General features: G+C 36.2%; 1 long non-coding RNA gene across 3 annotated transcripts in view; it reads right to left on the bottom strand.

Moving 5' to 3' along the window:
* Positions 1-20,928, bottom strand: part of CDK6-AS1 (CDK6 antisense RNA 1) — an 80,705-nt gene that overhangs the window by 2,913 nt on the left and 56,864 nt on the right. The window contains exons 3-4 of one of the 3 annotated variants that reach the window (NR_110086.1): positions 8,455-8,545; positions 7,898-8,184 (exon numbers count right to left, since the gene is read on the bottom strand). The exons of the other annotated variants lie outside the window; for them this stretch is intronic. This is a non-coding gene — a long non-coding RNA (CDK6 antisense RNA 1). The remainder of the gene's footprint in view (positions 1-7,897; positions 8,185-8,454; positions 8,546-20,928) is intronic. 3 annotated transcript variants of the gene reach the window in all.

Genomic DNA, 20,928 nt, shown 5'->3' with positions numbered 1-20,928 from the left:
GGAGGCATACTACACAAGTTTATTTCAAAACATTGCTGTCGGATAAGAGATTTATGGATTCTGTGTGATTACGGATATTAACTAGAGAATCTCTGTATGTTGTTATATATTTGGGAGTGTCTTAGTCCATTCAGACTGCTATAACAAAATACCTTACACTGGGTGCTCAAAAATACCAGTAAATAAATTGCAATGCAGTGAGAGATTGTTTTTTAATGTGATGACAGTGCATAATTTCAATAGGGTCAGAGAAAACTGGATGCTCATATTGAAGGCTGACTTACAGACTTACAAAAATACACATTTATTTCTCACAGTCCCAGAGGTTGGGAAGTCCAAGATCAAGGCACCAGCAGATTCAGTGTCTGGTGAGGAATCTCTGCTTTACAGATGACACCTTGTTGCTTCGTCTTCACATGGCAGTATGGGCAAGGCGGCTCCCTTCAACCTCCTTTATAAGAAGCACTAATCCCATTCATGAAGACAGAGCCCTCGTAACTTTATTCCCAAAAGACTCTCACTTCTTAATACTATCATACTGGGTGCTAGGTTCCAACGTATGAATTTGAGGGAGATGCCAACATTCAGACCATAATAGGGAGGATGGGACAGTGTATGTGTGTGTATGTGTGTGTGTGTGCATGTATATATATGCATGCTAGTGCATGTTCACTTCTTGACTTCTCATGGTATTATTATGCTCTCAATTATCTTGCTTCCCCCCTCATCTTTCTTCCACGTCCAATTTGTCATTGACTCCAAGAGAGGTAGTTGAGGTATATTTAAAAATCAAAGCTGGCCTTGGAATTAGAACCCCACGTTAAATCTGTTATTAGTTCTGTGACGCTAAGAAAATCACTTAGTCTCTCAGAGCCTCAGTTTGTCACCTTCAAATCAATGAGAAAACCACACAGGCTCCTAGCATGACACCTATCCCATGGTAGATACTCAGGATACTTTGTTGAGCCTGCATCTTCTTTCATGATGTCTCTGAAATCTATGCCTTTCTTTTGTTACCTTTGCCACCCTGGAGCAGGACTTTATCCCCTCTCATCCAAGCCTCAGCCTCCAATCTGAACATCTAGTTTTCTCTGACCCAATTGAAGTCATGCACTGTCATCAGATTAAAAAATAATCTCTCACTGCATTGCAATTTATTTATTGGTATTTTTGAAGCAAACCACCAAAAATATCAAACTCTGATATTTTCCTTTCATACTTTTAGGTACATATGTTGTCAATATTGCCATTCTCTAGGCCTAAGAAGACCCTTTACTTGCTTAACTATTCCTAAATATTCTTTGTTAACACTTTCTCTGTGCTGTGTGACAACTCTCTCTTCTGAAGACTATATACTACTCTAAGCCCTGTAAGATACTAAGACAAATGAGTCCAAAAAATCTTGGCTCTACCACTCACCTGCAATAATATTAATAAAAACCACTATGTATTGTGCCCTTACATGGAAATATGCTATGATTTTATATGTGTTATCTCATATAATCCTCACAACAACCCTATAAGGTATTCTTATTATTATTTTATGAGAAAACTGTAGCTTGGGAATATTAAATCCATTTCCCATTATATAGATAGAAAGTGGTAGGGCACAGATTTGAACCCAGATCAAAGCCTAAACTCTTAAGCTCTCAGCTACTCTGCCTGTGTTATATTCTTGGAGAAATAATAGAAATGGCTGTACCATCAGACTGATTACAAAAGAGTTAACTACAACTTGCAAGTGGCATTAACTACTTACAACTACTTACAAATTACCTACTTATACATTCCTCAGAAATTTTTGCAACTCATTGTAGATATCTTAGTTAACGTCTCCTAGCTTCAACTATAAAATATCAGTGATATCACCTAGTTTATAGAGTTGATAGCAGTATTATTTGAATTACTGCCTTAATGTGGTTAAAGGGCTAGTATAGCTTCTGATATAGACACCCAATATATATTAGTTCCCTTCATGTCCTATGCTCCTTCTAATCAATTTAAATATTTGCTGCAACAGTTGGATTTTCATTTAATGCTCTCCATGGATTACCTCCTCACTGTCATTGATTAAAAAGCTAAAAGAACAGAGCAGGTCTTGTGAAGAAAGGAGTGCTCATTCTACAGCTGACTCAAGTGAGGCTTGATGATTTTCATGAAGTAACTGAAGGATTTTAGAGTCACTGATCATTTGTTCTCCATGTACTCAAAAGAGTGAAAAAGAAGAACAAAATAAGATAAATGCAATTCTAGAGATATTTTGATGAGACACTAGGAAGAATTTAATGATGTCAAAAAAGGAAAAAAATGTTGGAATAAGACCGAAAAAAAAGTCTCAGAAGATCTTTGAAAGTTAAGCTATGGCCTAGGTAATTTATAAACACACCCTCATCTAAAGCAACAGACTGAGCCAAGTAATTGATCAACATTTCCTCTAATTCTGTTGGTCTAGAGATTTCTTTTTTCTTGATCAAAGCTAAGGAAAACTATCTTTCTGTGTATTGTGGTATGTTTCTACTGTCAAAGGAGCCCAGTTGTGGTCCTTGTGTTTATGAGATTATTAGGTTACTTTCTAATTTCTCCTAACTATAATCATACCTTTCATCAACCCAGCCTACCTGTAAAACTTTTGAATAGAACAGAATGAAATGTAAGAACCATCACTTGTCCCCTCTTTTTGACTCTCTCAATGTTAATATTAAGAGTAAAAATATTACGTGTATGTATACACACACATAGAGATATATAGATATACAGTTGTATACACACCCATCTAGATATACAGTTGACCCTTGAACAATGCAGAGGTCGGGGTGCCAACCCCTCACACATATATGTTTTGATTCTCCAAAAACTTAACTATTAATAGCCTACCGTAGCAGGCTAACAGTAAATTAACACATATTTTGTATGTTATGTATATTATATATTGTATTCTTACAATAAAATAAGCTAGAAAAAAGGAAAATGTTATTAAGAAAATAATAAGGAAGAGAAAATACATTTACAGTGCTATATTGTATTTATCAATACCATAAATTCACATGGTCTGTTTACAGGATGAATCATCTGTCTGAAAGTCAACTTTTTCTTGTAATATCATGACTATTCTATGCTTCTCGGGAGCACTTCCAGCATCACCAGTGGCACTTTGTATGGGTCCCATAATGTTATTCAAGATTTACAGTATGGCACTAAGCATAATGAAAAATACACAAGAATCACAAGAGACCACTTTTTACTGCTATACGCAATTTACTGGAGAGACAAACTACTCACACGGAGATGATTAGCATCACATAGCATTTTAAGCAGATACAACGCTTGAGCTCACTACAATAGCAACAGGAGGTGGCTATAAACTTATTATGGTACTATAATATGTACTACAATTAGTTTTATGCAATTATTGTTTAAAATTGCATCTTTACATTTGTTTACATTTCTCTCCGCCACAAATGGTGCCATATTTGGTCTATAAGTGTGTATGTAAATTTTGATAATATTTAACTTTTTATGATAGAGTCGTGCATATTTTATGATAGTAAATGGTAAAACAGATTATTGTCTACACATATTATGTGCATTCATAACATATCTAACTTTTTCTTAATTCACACAGTTCATCTGTTTTTTCAAATTGTTGCAAATCTCCAAAGCATTTTCCAAAATATATATGGAGAAAAATCTGCATAGTAAGTGAAACCTGTGCAGTTCAAGCTTGTGTTGCTCAAGGGTCAACTGTATACACAAATATATATAATGATATAAATTTTATTACCCAGTGAAGTAAGGTTATGTTATCCCCAGTTTACAGATGAGGAAACTGCCTAAGATAAGATAGATAAAGGATTGGCAAACATCTGCTTAAAGGGTCAAAGAGTAAATATTTTAGGATTTAGGCCATGACCCAACCTCTGTTACAACTACTCAGCTCTGCCATTGTAGCATAGATGTAGCCACAGATGTCATAAATAAATTGTCATGTCAGTGTTCCAATAAAACTTTATTTACAAAAACATGCGACTTACCCATATGCCATATTTGCCAATCCCTTGGATAGATAACTAGATTTTTTTAAGTCCTGTTGATAAAGCAGTCATCAAGCTATAGTTTACTAAGAAAAACATTTACAATTAAAAAGGATTGTTGATTTTTAAAACATTTTGATGAACCATATTAATACATTTCCTAATATTAAGACATATTTGATTTCTGTAATAAACTTTATTCTTACTTTTAATGTATTTGCTGCACATACAAGAGAAATGAAAGCCCAGACTATAAGGATCCAGATCCAGAAGAAAAGGGAGTTACAGAGAGAAGTAAGCCCAACATTCTGCATGCAAATTTTCCTATGAAGCATTTCCTGATTTCTAAGATGAGCACATATGGGGCAAGATGGCAGCAACTAGACAGAAAGCAGCTGCTAAGAAGCTAAAAAGCTAAGCAGATATTTAGGCAATCTCATGGTACCAAGGAAACAAAAATTGGAATTCAGGAACCACCAAGTAAAAGAGGCACTAGTAAACACTTCAGGCTTTCAATTACGGCCCTGAAAGGGATATACCCTAGGAGTAAGAATAATGCAGAAATAGAAAAGGCTTAACCAGATTAAAGTGTTCTGCATGTACTCTATCTGCCCTCCAGGAGAAAAAAACTAAATCTTTTCTGGAAAAGCTTACATCATTCAGAGACTAATTTTTTCAATAAATTTCTTGTAATCAGTAAAAACTTACTAAGTATACTAGGAAACGGGGCCAAACAAACAAAAATAAAGAGAAAAAATAGACAATGAAAAACAGAACCATAGGTGATACAGACATTGGAGTTATAAGACACTGACTCTAAAATAACTGTAACTGATATTTTGAAAAAACATAAATAAGAAGATTTTAAAAATTCACCAGGGAATTAAAACCCATTTTTAAAGTACCAAACACTACAATTAAAATTTAAGAAACTACCACTTTTTGTGTTTCATTGTAGTATCAAAGAAGAATATTCACCATTTTCTGAAAAAGACTACTAAAACATTTCCCTTTTTAATTACATATACCTGAGCCCAGATTTTCTTTATGTACTGCAATCAAAACAACATATCACAATGGATTAAAGACAGAAGCAATAAGAGAATCCCACTGGTTTCCATTAAACTGGGCATTTTAAAAAAATTGTAAAAACAAGCCAGGCATGGTGGCACATGCCTGTAATCCCAGCTACTTGGGAGGCTGAGTCAGGAGAATTGCTTGAACCTGGGAGGTGGAGGTTGCAGTGAGCCGAGATTGCGCCACTGCACTCCAGCCTGGGCAACAAGAGAAAAACTCCATCCAAAAAAAAAATTGTAAAAACATAAAGCAAGGTTCTTTTTCTCACTTAATATTTTTTGTTTTAGAAAATATAGCTGTTTTCACTTATTTATGTATTTTAACATGTAATGGGTTTATTGTTATTTTTAAATTATTTAGTAAGTATGTTTAAATTTTCTCAGTTTTCCATTTCATTGTGGTAACAATTAATAGATATAACCCACATAAAGAAAAGCTCTTTAGAGTTCTCAATACTTTTTAAGATTGTAAAGGGGTCGCAAGACCAAAAGGTTTGATAACACTGATCTATAGATTCAAAACATTTACAATCAAGTTCTCAGGATGTTTTCTGTGTATCTGTCTGTGTGTGTGGAAATTGGCAAACTGTTTCTAAGCTTTATATGGAAATGCAAAGGATCAAAAATAGCCAAGAGAATTGTGAAGAAGATTAGCTTACAGCTATCAAAGTTTATTTTAAAGCTACAGTAACCAAAAGAGTGATATTGGCACCAGGAAAAATAAACAGACCAAGAGGATAGAATTGAGTCCAGAAATAGTCCTTGTATACAGTTACCTGATTTTCAACAACACTGTTACTATGATGGAGTGGAAAAAGGATGGTCTTTTAAATAAATTATGCTGGATTGATTGTTCCACATTCTCATCAGCATTTGGTATTTCAGTGTTTTGGATTTTAATGATTCTAATAGATGTGTGGTATTATCTTGTTGTAATTTGAAATTCTCTAACGGCATATGATGTTGGACATATGTTGATATGCCATTTGCTGTCTGTATATCTTCTTTGGTGAGGTGTTCGTTCAGGTCTTTTGCCCACTTTATAATTGGGTTGTTTGTTTTCTTACTGTTGAGTTTTAAGATGTCTTTGTATATTTTGGATTCAAGACCTTTATCTGGTACGTGTTTTACAAATATTTCCCCTCAGTCTGTGACTTGTTTTTTTTTACTCTCTTAAGTTAATGCTTTAAAGGAAATTAAAAACAGAATCTTCTCTTATGTTATATTCTAGAACTTGTATTGATTTATCTTTCAATCCTTCTGAAATTGATTTTTATATCTGATGTGAAGTAGGGGTCAAGTTTTACATACACACACGTATATACACACACAGACACACATATACATATATACATATATAGAATACACACACACACACACACACACACACACACACACGCACACACATCCATCCAGAACTCTTATTCGTTGCTGGTAGGATTGTAAAATAGTACAGCCACTTTGGAAGACAAATGGAATTTTATGACAATGCTAAACCTTGTCTCGCCTTATGATCCAGCAATCATACTCCTATGTATTTGCCCAAATGACTTAAAAACTTATGTCCACACAAAAATTTGACATGAATGTTTGCAGGAACTTTATTAATAATTGCCTAAAATTGAATGCAACCAAGATGTCTTTCAATAGATAAATGAAATTAGCAAACTGTGGTACATCCCTACAATGTAATATTAATACTATTAAGCAATAAGAAAAAAATGACCCACAAACAGATATAGAGGAACCTTCAATGCATATTGCCAAGTGAAAGACGCCAGTTTGAAAGGCTACATATGTATATCTCCAACAAATGTCATTTTGGAAAAGACAAAACTATAGAGACAGTAAAAAGATTAGTGGTTGCCAAGGTGTATTAATCAGGGCTTTCCAGACAAACAGAAGCAATAGGATATTTATAAACATATGAGATGGACTTTATGTTAATAACAATGTATCAATATCAGTTCATCAACTGTAACAAATGTATCATATCAATGCAAGACATAAATTAATAGGGAAACTGGAAGAGCAGGGAGTGTATGGGAATCTCTGTTCTTTGGCTCAATTTTTCTGTAAAACTAAAATTGCATTAAAAATAAAGTCTATTAATTAAAATAAAATGCACTAACATAATAAAATTGTTGATCATTTGGACTTATTAAAATTTAAAGCTTCTACTCATCAAAAGACACCATTAAGAGAGTGAAAAGGCAAGATGCAAAGTGGAAGAAGATATCTGACATATTTAAATCACACAAACAATTCATATCTAGACTATGTAAGTATCTCTTATAAATTTATAAAAAACACAGGCTCAATTTTTTTCTAAATGGGAAAAAAACTTGAACAGCTTTTTACAAGAGATATCCAAATGACCGATGAACATGAATAGGTACTCAACATTACTAGTTATCCAGAAAATGCAAATTGAAAACAACATAGGCTATCTCTACACACACCGTAGAATGGCTAAAATTAAAAAGATTGACAATACCAAGTATTGATGAGGATATAGAGCAACAGAAACTCATAGGATGCTTTGAGGGTGTAAATTGGTAAAAACTACTTTGGAAATTTTGTTACCAGTAAAGCTGAGCATATGTGCACCGTATGATTCAGAAATTCAATCTGCAGGTATAAAATTAAATGAAATGCATACATATGTGCACAAAATGATAGTTATGAGAATGAGAATATTCCTAGCACATTATTCTCCATAGCACCAAACTAGAAGCAACCCAAATGCCCATTGTATTAGTCCATTCTCACACTGCTACAAAGACATACCTGGGACTGGGTAATTTATAAAGAAAACAGATTTAATTAGCTTGCAGTTCTGCAGGATGTATAGGCTTCTGCTCCTGGGGAGACCTCAGGAAACTTACAATCATGGTGGAAGACAAAGAGGAAGCAGGCACAGTCTTCACATGGCCAGGAGGAGAGAGAGGGAGTGAAGTGGCAGGTGCTACACACTTTCAAACAACCAGATCTTGTGAGAAATCCATCACAAGAGCAGCAACAGGAAAGTCCGTCCCCGTGATTCAATCACCTTCCACAAGGCCCCTCCTCCAACACTGGGGATACAATTTGACATGAGATTTTGGTAGGGACACAGAGCCAAACTATATTACCCATTAACAATAGAATAGATAAATTGTAGTATATATGTATAATGGAATACAATTTAGCAATGAAGAAAACTATATCTATCTATAAAAACATTAATGAACCTCAAAGGTATAACATTTAGCAACAAAAGAGTATATACTATGTAATCTCATTCAAATAAAATTCAAAAACAGGCAACATTAATTTATAGTAATAGGAATCTGTGCCGTGGTTACCTTTGGAGGAAGTAACAACAGGGACAGGAGCACATAGTAGGCCTCTGTGGTGGTGTTAATGTTCAGTATCTTGCTTTGTGTCAAAATCAAGCTGTAAAATTAAATTTATGCCCTTACAAGTCCATAAATTAAATTTAAATTTAATAAGTGAAACAAAAGCTATATCGTTGCCTAAATCAACCAACCATAAAGTCATGAGTCATAAAAATTCCCAAATTACTTTTAATCCTATCATTCCTAACCCTAAAACAGTGAGGCCCTCCTGATAAAAAGACGCACTCTCATTACAGACAGTCCAATGCTCTTCCTGTGCCCAGCACATTATTAATAATTAATAACTAATATTTTAGTGCCAGACACCACACTGACTAAATAGTTATTGTGGATGAATATAGTTAGGGTGGATAATAGTGTGGACTAAATAGTTAGTGTGGATTAATGCAAATCATGCATTAATATATTGAAATCTCCCAATAACCCTTAGAGATGGCTATTATTAAGCTACTCTATAGATGAGAAAGTAAATTTTCACAAGGTCACTATATCAGTCAATATCTTTCATTACAATTAAAAGAGACCAACTTTCGTTTAAGCAAAAGGGAATGTGCTTAAAAGGGCATTGCAGAACTCCCAGAGTTGCCAGGACTGCCAATGTGAGGACTCTGTAGCCATGAACAATACCCCAGATCAAGTAATGGAGCTGGTCCAATGTGAAAACACTGTCTTATTGCCCAGCACTGGTGAGTGTGGCCCACTCTGCCACACTGCCAGACCTGGAGCCCAGACACGGGCACTGGCAAGTCTGCCACTGCTCTGTGGGAGCTTGCCATAACTTCTGCCACCAGCACGACCAGCAAGAATGACTCTCAGTTCCCACTGCAGCAACCAAGTGCTGAGCACATGTTTCATGCCCTAAGGCAAAAAGGAATATATGCACTTAAAAAATCCCAGGTTTGGAAGGTGGCAAGTGGGAATTTGAACCCAGCTGACTTGGTTCCAAAACCAAAGGCTCAAATTTTTGCGAGGCTGTCTACAAACGGGTGATGTTACTTTACCATTTAAAGGACCAAATGAGGCAAGCAAATCCAACAACAAGCAAACCCAACAACACTTCATGTCACTGTGTCACTATCAGAAAGATTCAAAAATGAATTGCTTGACTAATTTATAGACAGAACAAAACTATTTATATGACAAATAGGGCTGCTGGAAATCACCAAGTGCTTTAATAAAGGCAGACAGGGAGGACCCCATATGACAGCTCATCCGAGAACCAGAACTGCACCATGTGGGGCCATGTGGCTGCATGCTGACTCAGAAGAGGGGTGGGGAAGGAGGGCCGCTTCTGATTCACCAAGACCACATCCTGCCCCTCCTTCATTCTTTCCCCTGGAAGCTGCATATCAATCTTCTTAGTGAAATCTCCCCAAAGCATGGGGCTCAGGTATTTTCAGCAAACGTCTGTGAACCTAAGAGTCCCATTTTCCAGGAACATTTGGCCCTGCTTCTTTTCAATGGCATTTAGGTGTGAAGTTGACTATGACTAAGTGTGAAGCTGATAGTCTGCACATGAATACTCAGGGCTTGATTTGGGTTATTTAGTTTTCCCTGTGTTTTCTTGGGCACAAACCAATATCTAACATCATATATATATATATATATATATATATATATATATATATATATATATATATATATATATATATATATGTCCTTTAAAAAACTGGCTTTAGCTGGTTTAAATCAGAAAGAAAATTCTTAAACACACAATACCAGTTAGGTAACAACTTGGGAGAAATGTGTTCTTTCTGACAATCGTGTAAATACATATTCATTATCATCAAAGACTAAACAAGCATGTCATCCTGCTCTGATTCATCTTAGGAAAACATGTGGTAGGCAATTCAAAATCCTTCAAATAAAGAATAAAAAGAGGCAAGGTCAAGTTTTTTGTTAAAGGAAATTTAGTAAAATTAGTGTATTTGTGGACTTTTTAATTTTGTTTGCAGTTTTGAAGGTTGGGGTTTTTTGGGGTTTTTTACTTTTGTTTTGGGCTATCATTATTATTATTGGTTTCTATGAAGGCAGTAGTGGGAGTTAGGATTAGAAAGGTTGTGGTAGTCAATATATGGAGGACTTTGAAAGGTTAGGGATCTGATCTTTATTCTGTAGGGAGGGAGTAATTCATAAAGGTTTTTTATCTACTTTATTTTTACAATTTTTTAGCCAAATAGAACAAAGAGAAAAGTGTGGAAATTTTAAGTAAATTTAATTTTTTAAATCACACGTTATGCAATCACCATTCATGTCAAGAAATAGCTACCAGCACCTCAGGAAGTTCCCTTGTGGTATTTTTAAATTTAAAAAATTATCAACTATAACCAAATAGAGTGAAAACGTAAAACATGTATGTTCTGTTTAACATGTCATTGCCATCAAGGTCAAGAAGTCTAAGATCGAAAGCACCCCAGAAATCTCCTGAGTTTAACTTTGAAATCTCCTGAGTTTAACTTCGAAATCTCCTGAGTTTAACTTCCAAATCACAACTTTCTCCCTCCGCATCCACCATTCCCAAACCATAAGGTAATTGCTACCCAAATATTTGGAATAACCATTTCTTTGTTTTACTTTGTTTTTACCACCTAGGTATGCATTGCTAAATAAGATAGTTTAGTTTTGCCGTTTTTGAACTTTGTTCAGATACAATCATGCTTGATGTTTTCTTTGTTGTTTTGCTTCTTTACCCAACAGTATTTTTGAGGAGTCATCCATGCTGATTCTTGTAGTTCATAGTCAATTTCTTTATTATAAATAATCTGTTGCATGAATATATCACAAGTTATTTATCCATGCTATAGTTGTTAGACAGTTAGTGGTTTCCAGGCTGAGGCTATTACAAATAATGTTAAGGCATTGTCTGTGTGTATGTAAGGGAAAAAGAGAGAGAGGATTAAGATGTATCTAGTAGTACTATGCAAGCTGAACTCAGATAGGGAGGAAAGAATCACGGAATTTAGTTGGGAGACTCAACCATAACAATCAAACATATGAGCTTAGTGATTAAAAAAGAAAGTAAGAAAGGACAGATTCCTAGCAGGAGTTCCCATTAATCTGCATTTTTGCCTGCTTTTGATGCTATCCATAATTTTAAATGTTTGCTAAAATAATAAGGAAAAATTAGCTATTGCTTTACATTTCAGTTCCCTAATTAGTAGTGAATTTGAGCATTCTCTTGTATTTTTTCATCAGACTATGAAAATTTGTGTGTAAATTGCCTATGCATATCCTTTGCCCATTTTTCTATCAACTAATTCTTGTCTTTCTTGCTGATTTGGGGGAACTCAGTAACTTCTGAATATTAATCCTTTGTCTATTACCTATATTGTATAGATATTTTACTTGCATATTGCTTATCTCTGTTCACAGTGTCTTTTGCTGTATGTAAATTTTTAATTTGTATATATGATGACTTTTTTGAGGTGTTACCTTGGCTAGGCTACAATATCTAATTATTCAATTAAACATCTAGTCTTAGTTTTCTTGTGAAGGTAGTTTGCAGATATAATTAAAGCCCTTACTCAAGTGACCTTAAATAAGGGAGATTATCTTAAATAATCTGAGTAAACCCGATTAAATCAGTTGAAAAGCCTTAAAAGTGGGACCGAGGCTTCTCCCAAAGGAATATGAAGTTTCACACTATGATATTCCCTTTCTAAAGACCTTCTCTACTGATTTCAGACTTTCTTAGTAAGCCCCAACAATCACACAAGCCAATCCATATGTGTGTGTGTGTGTGTGTGTCTATCTGTATGTGTACACACACATCTCTATCTTTCTATACATGTATCTATCTATCTGCATCTATATCTGTCTATATATATGTGTATGTGTGTGTGTGTGTGTGTGTGTATTTAAATTTGAATTTGTATTTATAATTATTCTCCCTGCTGGTTCTGCTTCTCTGGTTGAACCCTGACTGATACAGTATAATATTTTTACATAGTCAATCTATCAATATTCTCATTTATAGCTGCTGGGTTTTGTGTCTTGCTGACTTAGTCTTCATATAAATATGTTTGTAAGTCATGATTATACAGAATTGGTAGTAATGGCTAAAGATTGAAAAGCCCCTTCACTCCTCTCTACTATTTCTTCCCCATCTAGAAGTAACCATTGTTAATAAGTTGGACTATATTTGTCAAGCCTATTTTTTATACAAAAAAATAGCCCGTGTGTGTGTGTGTGTGTGTGTGTGTGTGTGTGTGTAAAAGTCTACAAAGTGAGCTGGAAGAACACATCCCAACTTAATGACAATGATTACATGTAAATGAGAAAAAAGTGGTAGACAGAAGTGAAAAGGGACTTTCAGCATTTTGTACTTTTGATTGTCTAAATCTTAGATAATGAGAATCTATTTGTATTTAAGTGATTTTTATATTAAAAAAACTTCATAAAAATTATTAATAATGATTCCATGATTCCAATATTTCAAATTTGGGTAAGCCAAGAGATAATGGTTCCATTGAGATAAATAAAAATGCCAAAAACCAGATGTTTACTTCAAGAATTACAAACTCCAAAGCCATGCTTAAATGCATAATAAAAGACAATAGGAAGATTGAATGTGGTGTCTAGCTAGGAGCACATGCTTGACCTAACTTTCAAAAGTCTACGGACAAATAAAACATATCTACAGGCCAAATTTGGCTTTTGGGCCATAGCTGTGTAACCCTTCCAACGATATAGGAAAAGAAGAGGTTGATTTCAAATCAAGAACGATAGAATTTGAGCCTTAGAGATGTTTTTAAAATCATAAAAGCTAAGACTCCAGTAAAAACAACAGCATAATTTGGTAAGAACTTGTTCCTTTTGAAAGGTGTATTATAGATACACACTCATGTTGTTTAAGAATTTCATCCTATTCTGATTTAATTTTGGCTGAAGGGCTGGAGCAATACAAAATTCTCTTCATCTACTTTCAGATAAATAGGAAGAGACACATTTCTCATAAAGACAATTTAGTAAGAGCTCTATTAAGTTTAGGAAACTGAGAAATGGCAAATTTTGAATTTTACAGTGTGACATTTAATAGAAGCTTCCATTAGAAATACCATACTTAATATCAAATGTTTTTTTTTAAAAATGAGGGACAGCAACATGGCCAGGACTCAGCATTTATCTCACACTTGTCAAGGTATAACTGTTGAGCAGACACTGTAATGGATAACAGCCCACAAATGTTTACAGACCAAAAATTAATCAATGTAATACATCATATCAATACAATAAAGAACAAAACATGATCATCTCACATGATCATCTCAATAGAAAAGGGAAACATTTCACACAATGCAAGACTAAAATATTGTTTATAAAAAACTAGGAATGGAAGGGAACTTTCTCAGCTTGATAAAGTGCATATATGAAAAACCCACAGTTAATACATGTTGAGCATCCCAAATCTGAAAGTCCAAAATCCAAAATGCCCTAAAATCCAAAGCTTTTTGAGTGCTGACATCACGCTCAAAGGAAATGTTCACTGGATCATTTCAAATTTTTGGTTTTTTTATTTGGGATATTCAACTGGTAAGTACAATGCAAATATACCAAAATCCAAAAAAACAACCACCAAATCCAGAACACTTCTGATCCCAACTAGTTCAGGTAAGGTATATACAACTTGTGTAATACATAAGGGTGAAGAACTGAATGTTTTTCCCCTAAGATCAGGAACAAGACAAGAGTGATTATTCTCACTACTTCCATTTAACATTATACAAGGTGAGCCAATTAGGGGAGAAAATGAAATGAAAGCAATAAAATTTGAAAGAAAGAAGTAAAATATATGTATACATGACATGATTAAGTCATCATGATTCAGAAAATCCTAGATAATCTAGCAAAAACTATTCAAACTAATAAGTTTTGCAATGCTGCAGGATACAAGATCATTATACAAAAATCAATTGTATTTCTACACACTTGCACTGAACAATCCAAAATGAAATAAAGAAAATAATTTCATTTCTTATAGCATCAAAAATAATAAAATATTTACAAATATATTTAACAAAGGAAGTGAAAAACTTGTGTTCTGGAAAGTATAAAATATTATTGAAAGAAATTAAAGACAACCTAAATAAATGGAAAGACATACCATTTTCATAGATCAGATACCATGAATACACCCATGTTCATGGGCAATATTTCCCAAACTGATCTACAGATTCAACTCAACTATTCAAACCATTCAATGGACAAAGAATAGACTTTGTAGCAAATGGTGCTGAACCCTTGCCTCACACTATGTAGAAAAATTCACACAAAATAGATCAAAGACCTCACTGTAAGAACTACTATAGTTTCATAAAACTAGTTTACAAAATGAAAACTATAAAACTCTTAAAAGAAAATATCAGCTTAAACCTTTATAACCTTGAGTAAGAGAAAAGTTTCATAGATATGACACTAAAAGTACAAGCAACAAAGAAACACATGGATAAATTGGATTACATCAAAATTTAAAATTCTTGTGCTACAAAAGTTATCATCAAGAAAGTGAAGAGACAACCCACGAAATGGGAGAAAATATTTGCAAATCATATTTCTGATGAGAGACTTATACCTAGAATATGTATAGAAATCTTATGATTCAGAGGTGGCTGGCAAGATGGCCAAATAGCAACAGCTGCAGTATGAAGCTCCCAGTGAGATCAACACAGAAAGCAGGTGATTTCTGCATTTCCAACTGAGACAGTGGGAGCAGCCCATGGAGGGAAAGCCGAAGCGTGGTGCAGTGTCACCTCACCCAGGGAGCACAAGGGGTCAGGGAACTCCCTCACCTAGCCAAGGGAAGCCGTGAGGGACTGTGCCATGAGGCATGGTGCATTCTGGCCCAGATACTACACTTTTCCCACAGTCTTCACAACCTGCACACCAGGAGATTTCCTCAGGTGCCTACACCACCAAGGCCCTGGGTTTCAAGCACAAAACTGGGTGGCCGTTTGGGCAGACCTCGAGCTAGCTGCAGGAGTTTTTTTGTTTTTGTTTTTGTTTTCATATCCCAGTAGTGCCTGGAACATAACCGAGACAGAACTGTTCACTCCCCTGGAAAAAGGGATGAAGCCAGGGAGCCAAGTGGTCTAGCTCAGCAGATCCCACCCACACGGAGCTCATCAAGCTAAGATCCACTGGCTTGAAATTGTCGCTGCCAACACAACAGTCTGAAGTCAACCTGGGATGCTGGACCTTGGTGGGGGGCGGGGCATCCACCATTACTGAGGCTTGAGTAGGAGGTTTCCCCACACAGTGTAGACAAAGCTGCTGTAGCCAGACTGCCTCTCTAGACTCCTACTCTCTGGGTAGGGCATCTATGAAAGAAAGGCAGCAGCCCCAGTCAGGGCCTTACAGATAAAACTCCCATCTCCCTGGGACACAGCACCTGGGTGAAGGGCTGTGGGCACAGCTTCCGCAGACTTAAACATTCCTGCCTGCCAGCTCTGAAGAGAGCAGCAGATCTCCCAGCACCGTTCTTGAGCTCTGCTAAATAACAGACTGCCACCTTAAGTGGATCCCTTACTCCCATGCCTCCTATCTGGAAGAGAACTCCCAGCAGGGGTCAACAGACACCTCATACAGGATAACTCTGGCTGGCGTCTGGCAGGGGCCCCTCTGGGATGAAGCTTCCAGAGGAAGGAACAGGCAGAAATCTTTGCTATTCTGCAGCCTCCATTGGTGATACCCAGGCAAACAGGGTCTGGAGTGGACCTCCAGCAAACTCCAGCAGACCTGCAGCAGAGGCTCCTGACCATTAGAAGGAAAACTAACAAACAGAAAGGAATAGCATCGACATCAACAAAAAGGATGTCCACACCAAAACCCCATTGGAAGGCCACCAGCATCAAAGACGAAAGGTAGATAAATCCACAAAGATGAGAAAAAAAACAGTGCAAAAAGGCTGAGAATTCCAAAAACCAGAATGCCTCTTCTCCTCCAAAGGATCACAACTCCTGGACAGCAAGGGAACAAAACTGGATGGAGAATGAGTTTGACGAATTGACAGAAGTAGGCTTCAGAAGGTGGGTAATAACAAACTCCTCTGAGCTAAAGGAGCATGTTCTAACCCAATGCAAGGAAGCTAAGAACCTTGAAAAAAGGTTAGACGAACTGCTAACTATAATAACCAGTTTAGAGAAGAACACAAATGACCTGATGGAGCTGAAAAACATAGCAGAAGAACTTTATGAAGCATACACAAGTTTCAATAGTCGAATTGATCAAGCAGAAGAAAGGATATCCAAAAAAGGAAGGATATCAGAGATTGAAGAGCAACTTATGCAATAAAGAGAGAAGACAAGATTAGAGAAAAAAGAATAAAAAGAAATGAACAAAGGCTCCAAGAAATATGTGAAAAGACCAAATCTACGTTTGATTGGTGTACCTGAAAGTGATGAGGAGAATGGAACCAAGTTGGAAAACACTCTGCAGGATATTATCCAGGAGAACTTCCCCAACCTAGCAAGACAGGCCAACATTCAAATTCAAGAAATACAGAGAACACCACAAAGATACTCCTTGAGAAGAGCAACCCCAAGACACATAATCATCAGATTCACCAAAGTTGAAATGAAGGAAAAAATGTTAACGGGAAGCCAGAGAGAAAGGTCAGGTTACCCAAAAAGGGAAGCCCATCAGACTAACAGCAGATATCTCTGCAGAAACACTACAGGCCCAAAGAGAGTGGGGGCCAATATTCAACATTCTTAAAGAAAAGAATTTTCAACCCAGAATTTTATATCCAGTCAAACTAAGCTTCATAAGCAAAGGAGAAGTAAAATCCTTTACATAGAAGCAAATGCTGAGAGATTTTGTCACCACCAGGCCAGCCTTACAAGAGCTCCTGATGGAAGCACTAAATATGGAAAGGAACAACTGGTACCAGCCACTGCAAAAACATACAAAATTTGCAAAGACCATTGACACTATGAAGAAACTGCATCAGCTAATGGGCAGAGTAACCAGCTAGCATCGTAATGACAGGATCAAATTCACACATAACAATATTAACCTTAAATGTAAACAGGCTAAATGCCCCAATTAAAATACACACACTGGCAAATTGGATAAAGAGTCAAGACCCATCGGTTTGTGGTATTCAGGAGACCCATCTTACATGCAAAGACACACATAGGCTCAAAATAAAGGGATGGAGGAATATTTACCAAACAAATGGTAAGCAAAAAAAAAAAAAAAAAAAAAAAAGCAGGGGTTACAATCCTGGACTCCAGCAAAGCAGACTTTAAACCAACACAGATCAAAAGAGACTAAGAAGGGCATTACATAATGGCAAAGGGATCAATGCAGCAAGAAGAGCTAACTATCCTAAATATACATGCACCCAATACAGGAGCACTCAGATTCATAAAGCAAGTTCTTAGAGACCTACCAAGAGACTTAGACTCCCACACACTCTCTTTGGGCCTGTAGTGTTTCTTTAACACCCTACTGTCAATATTAGACAGATCAACGATATAGAAAATTAACAAAGATATTCAGGACTTGAACTCAGCTCTGGACCAAGTGGACCTAATGGACGTCTACAGAACTCTCCACCCCAAATCAACAGAATATACAGTCTCCTGGGAATCACATCACACTTATTCTAAAATGGACCACATAATTGGAAGTAAAATACTCCTCAGCAAATGCAAAAGAATGGAAATCATAACAGTCTCTCAGACCACAGTGCAATCAAATTGGAACTCAGAATTTAGAAAATCACTCAAAACTGCACAACTACAAGGCAGCCGAACAACCTGCTCTGGAATGACTACTAGGTAAATAACAAAATTAAGGCAGAAATAAAGATGTTCTTTGAAACCGATGAGAACAAAGATACAATGTACCAGAATCTCTGGGACACAACAAAAGCAGTGTTTAGAGGGAAACTTATAGCACTAAATGCCCACAGGAGAAAGCAGGAAAGATCTAAAAATCGACACCCTAACATCACAATTAAAAAAACTAGAGAAGCAACAGCAGACAAACTCAAAAGCTAGCAGAAGACAATAACTAAGATCAGAGCAGAACTGAAGGAGATAGGGACAAAAAAAAAAAAACCCCTTCAAAAAATCAATGAATCCAGGAGCTGGTGTTTTGAAAAGATTAACAAAATAGATTGACCACTAGCAAGACTAATAAAGACGAAAAGAGAGAAGAATCAAATAGATACAGTAATAAATAATAAAGGGGAGATCACCACTGATCCCACGGAAATACAAACTACCATCAGAGAATACTATAAACAACTCTACACAAATAAACTAGAAAATCTAGAAGAAATGGATAAATTCCTGGACACATACACCCTCCCAAGACTAAACCAGGCAGAAGTTGAATCCCTGAATAGACCAATAACAAGTTCTGAAATTGAGGCAGTAATTAATAGCCTACCAACCAAAAACAAGCCCAGGACCAGACAGATTCACAGCTGAATTATACCAGAGGTACAAAGAGTAGCTGCTACCATTCCTTCTGAAACTATTCCAATCAATAGAAAAAGAGGGACTCCTCCCTAACTCATTTTATGAGGCCAGCATCATCCTGATACAAAAACCTGGCAGAGACACAACTAAAAAAAGAAAATTTCAGACCAATATCCCTGATGAACGTCAATGTGAAAATTCTCAATAAAATACTGGCAAACCAAATCCAGCAGGACATCAAAAAGCTTATCCACCACGATCAAGTCAGCTTCATCCCTGGCATGCAAGGCTGGTTCAACATACACAAATCAGTAAGTGTAATCCATCACATGAACACAACCAATGACAAAAACCACATGATTATCTAAATAGATGCAGAAAAGGACTTTGGTAAAATTCAACACCCTTTCATGCTAAAAACTCTCAATAAACTAGGTATTGATGGAACATATCTCAAAATAATAAGAGCCATTTATGACAAACCCACAGCCAATATCATACTAAATGGCAAAACCTGGAAGCATTCCCTTTTAAAACCAGCACAAGACAAGGATGTCCTCTCTCACCACTCCTATTCAACGTAGTATTGGAAGTTCTGGACAGGGCAATCAGGCAAGAGAAAGAAGTGTATTCAAATAGGAAGAGAGGAAGTCAAATTGTCTATGTTTGCAGATGACATGATTCTATATTTAGAAAACCCCATCGTCTCAGCCCAAAATCTCCTTAAGCTGATAAGAAACTTCAGCAAAGTCTCAGGATACAGAATCAGTGTGCAAAAATCAGAAGCATTCCTATACACCAATAATAGACAGAGAGCCAAATCATGAGTGAACTCCCATTCGCAATTGCTACAAAGAGAATAAAATACCTAGGAATACAACTTACAAGGGATGTGAAGGACCTCTTCAAGGAGAACTGCAAACCACTGCTCAAGGAAATAAAAGAGGACACAAACAAATGGAAAAATATTCCATGCTCATGGATAGGAAGAATAAATATCATGAAAATGGCCATACTTCCCAACATAATTTATAGATTCAGTCCTATCCCCATCAAGCTACCATTGACTTTCTTCACAGAACTGGAAAAAAACTACTTTAAATTTAATATGGAACCAAAAAAGATCCCGCATAGCCAAGACAATCCTGGGCAAGAAGAGCAAAGCTGGAGGCTTCATGCTACCTGACTTCAAACTATACTACAAGGCTACAGTAACCAAAACAGCATGGTACTGGTACCAAAACAGATATATAGACCAGTGGAACAGAACAGATGCCTCAGAAATAACACCACACATCTGCAACCATCCGATCTTTGACAAACCTGACAAAAACAAGAAATGGGGAAAGGATTCCCTATTTAACAAATGGTGTTGGGAAAACTAAGCCATATGCAGAAAACTGAACCTGGACCCCTTCCTTACGCCTTATACAAAAATTAACTCCAGATGGATTAAAGACTTAAATGTAAGACCTAAAACAATAAAAACCCTAGAAGAAAACCTAGGCAATACCATTCAGGACATAGACATGGGCAAAACTTCATAACCAAAACACCAAAAGCAATGGCAACAAAAGCCAAAATTGATAAATGGGATCTAATCCGACTAAAGAGTTTCTGCACAGCAAGAGAAACTACCATCAGAATGAACAGGCAACCTACAGAATGGGAGAAAAATTTTGCAATCTATCCATCTGACAAAGGGCTAATATCCAAAATCTACAAGGAACTTAAAAAAATTTACAAGAAAAAAACAAACAACCCCATCAAAAAGTGGACAAAGGATATGAACAGACATTTCTCAAAAGAAGATCCTTTATGCAGCCAACAGACATATGAAAAAAGCTCATTATCACTGGTCATTAGAGAAATGCAAATCAAAACTACAATGAGATACCACCTCACGCCAGTTAGAATGGTGATCATTAAAAAGTCAGGAAACAACAGATGCTGGAGAGGATGTGGAGAAATAGGAACACTTTTACACTGT

This window comes from Homo sapiens, chromosome 7 (genome assembly GCF_000001405.40).
Source record: "Homo sapiens chromosome 7, GRCh38.p14 Primary Assembly".
Taxonomy (NCBI): Eukaryota; Metazoa; Chordata; class Mammalia; order Primates; family Hominidae; genus Homo; species Homo sapiens.
This window is presented reverse-complemented; position numbering and strand designations above follow the sequence as displayed.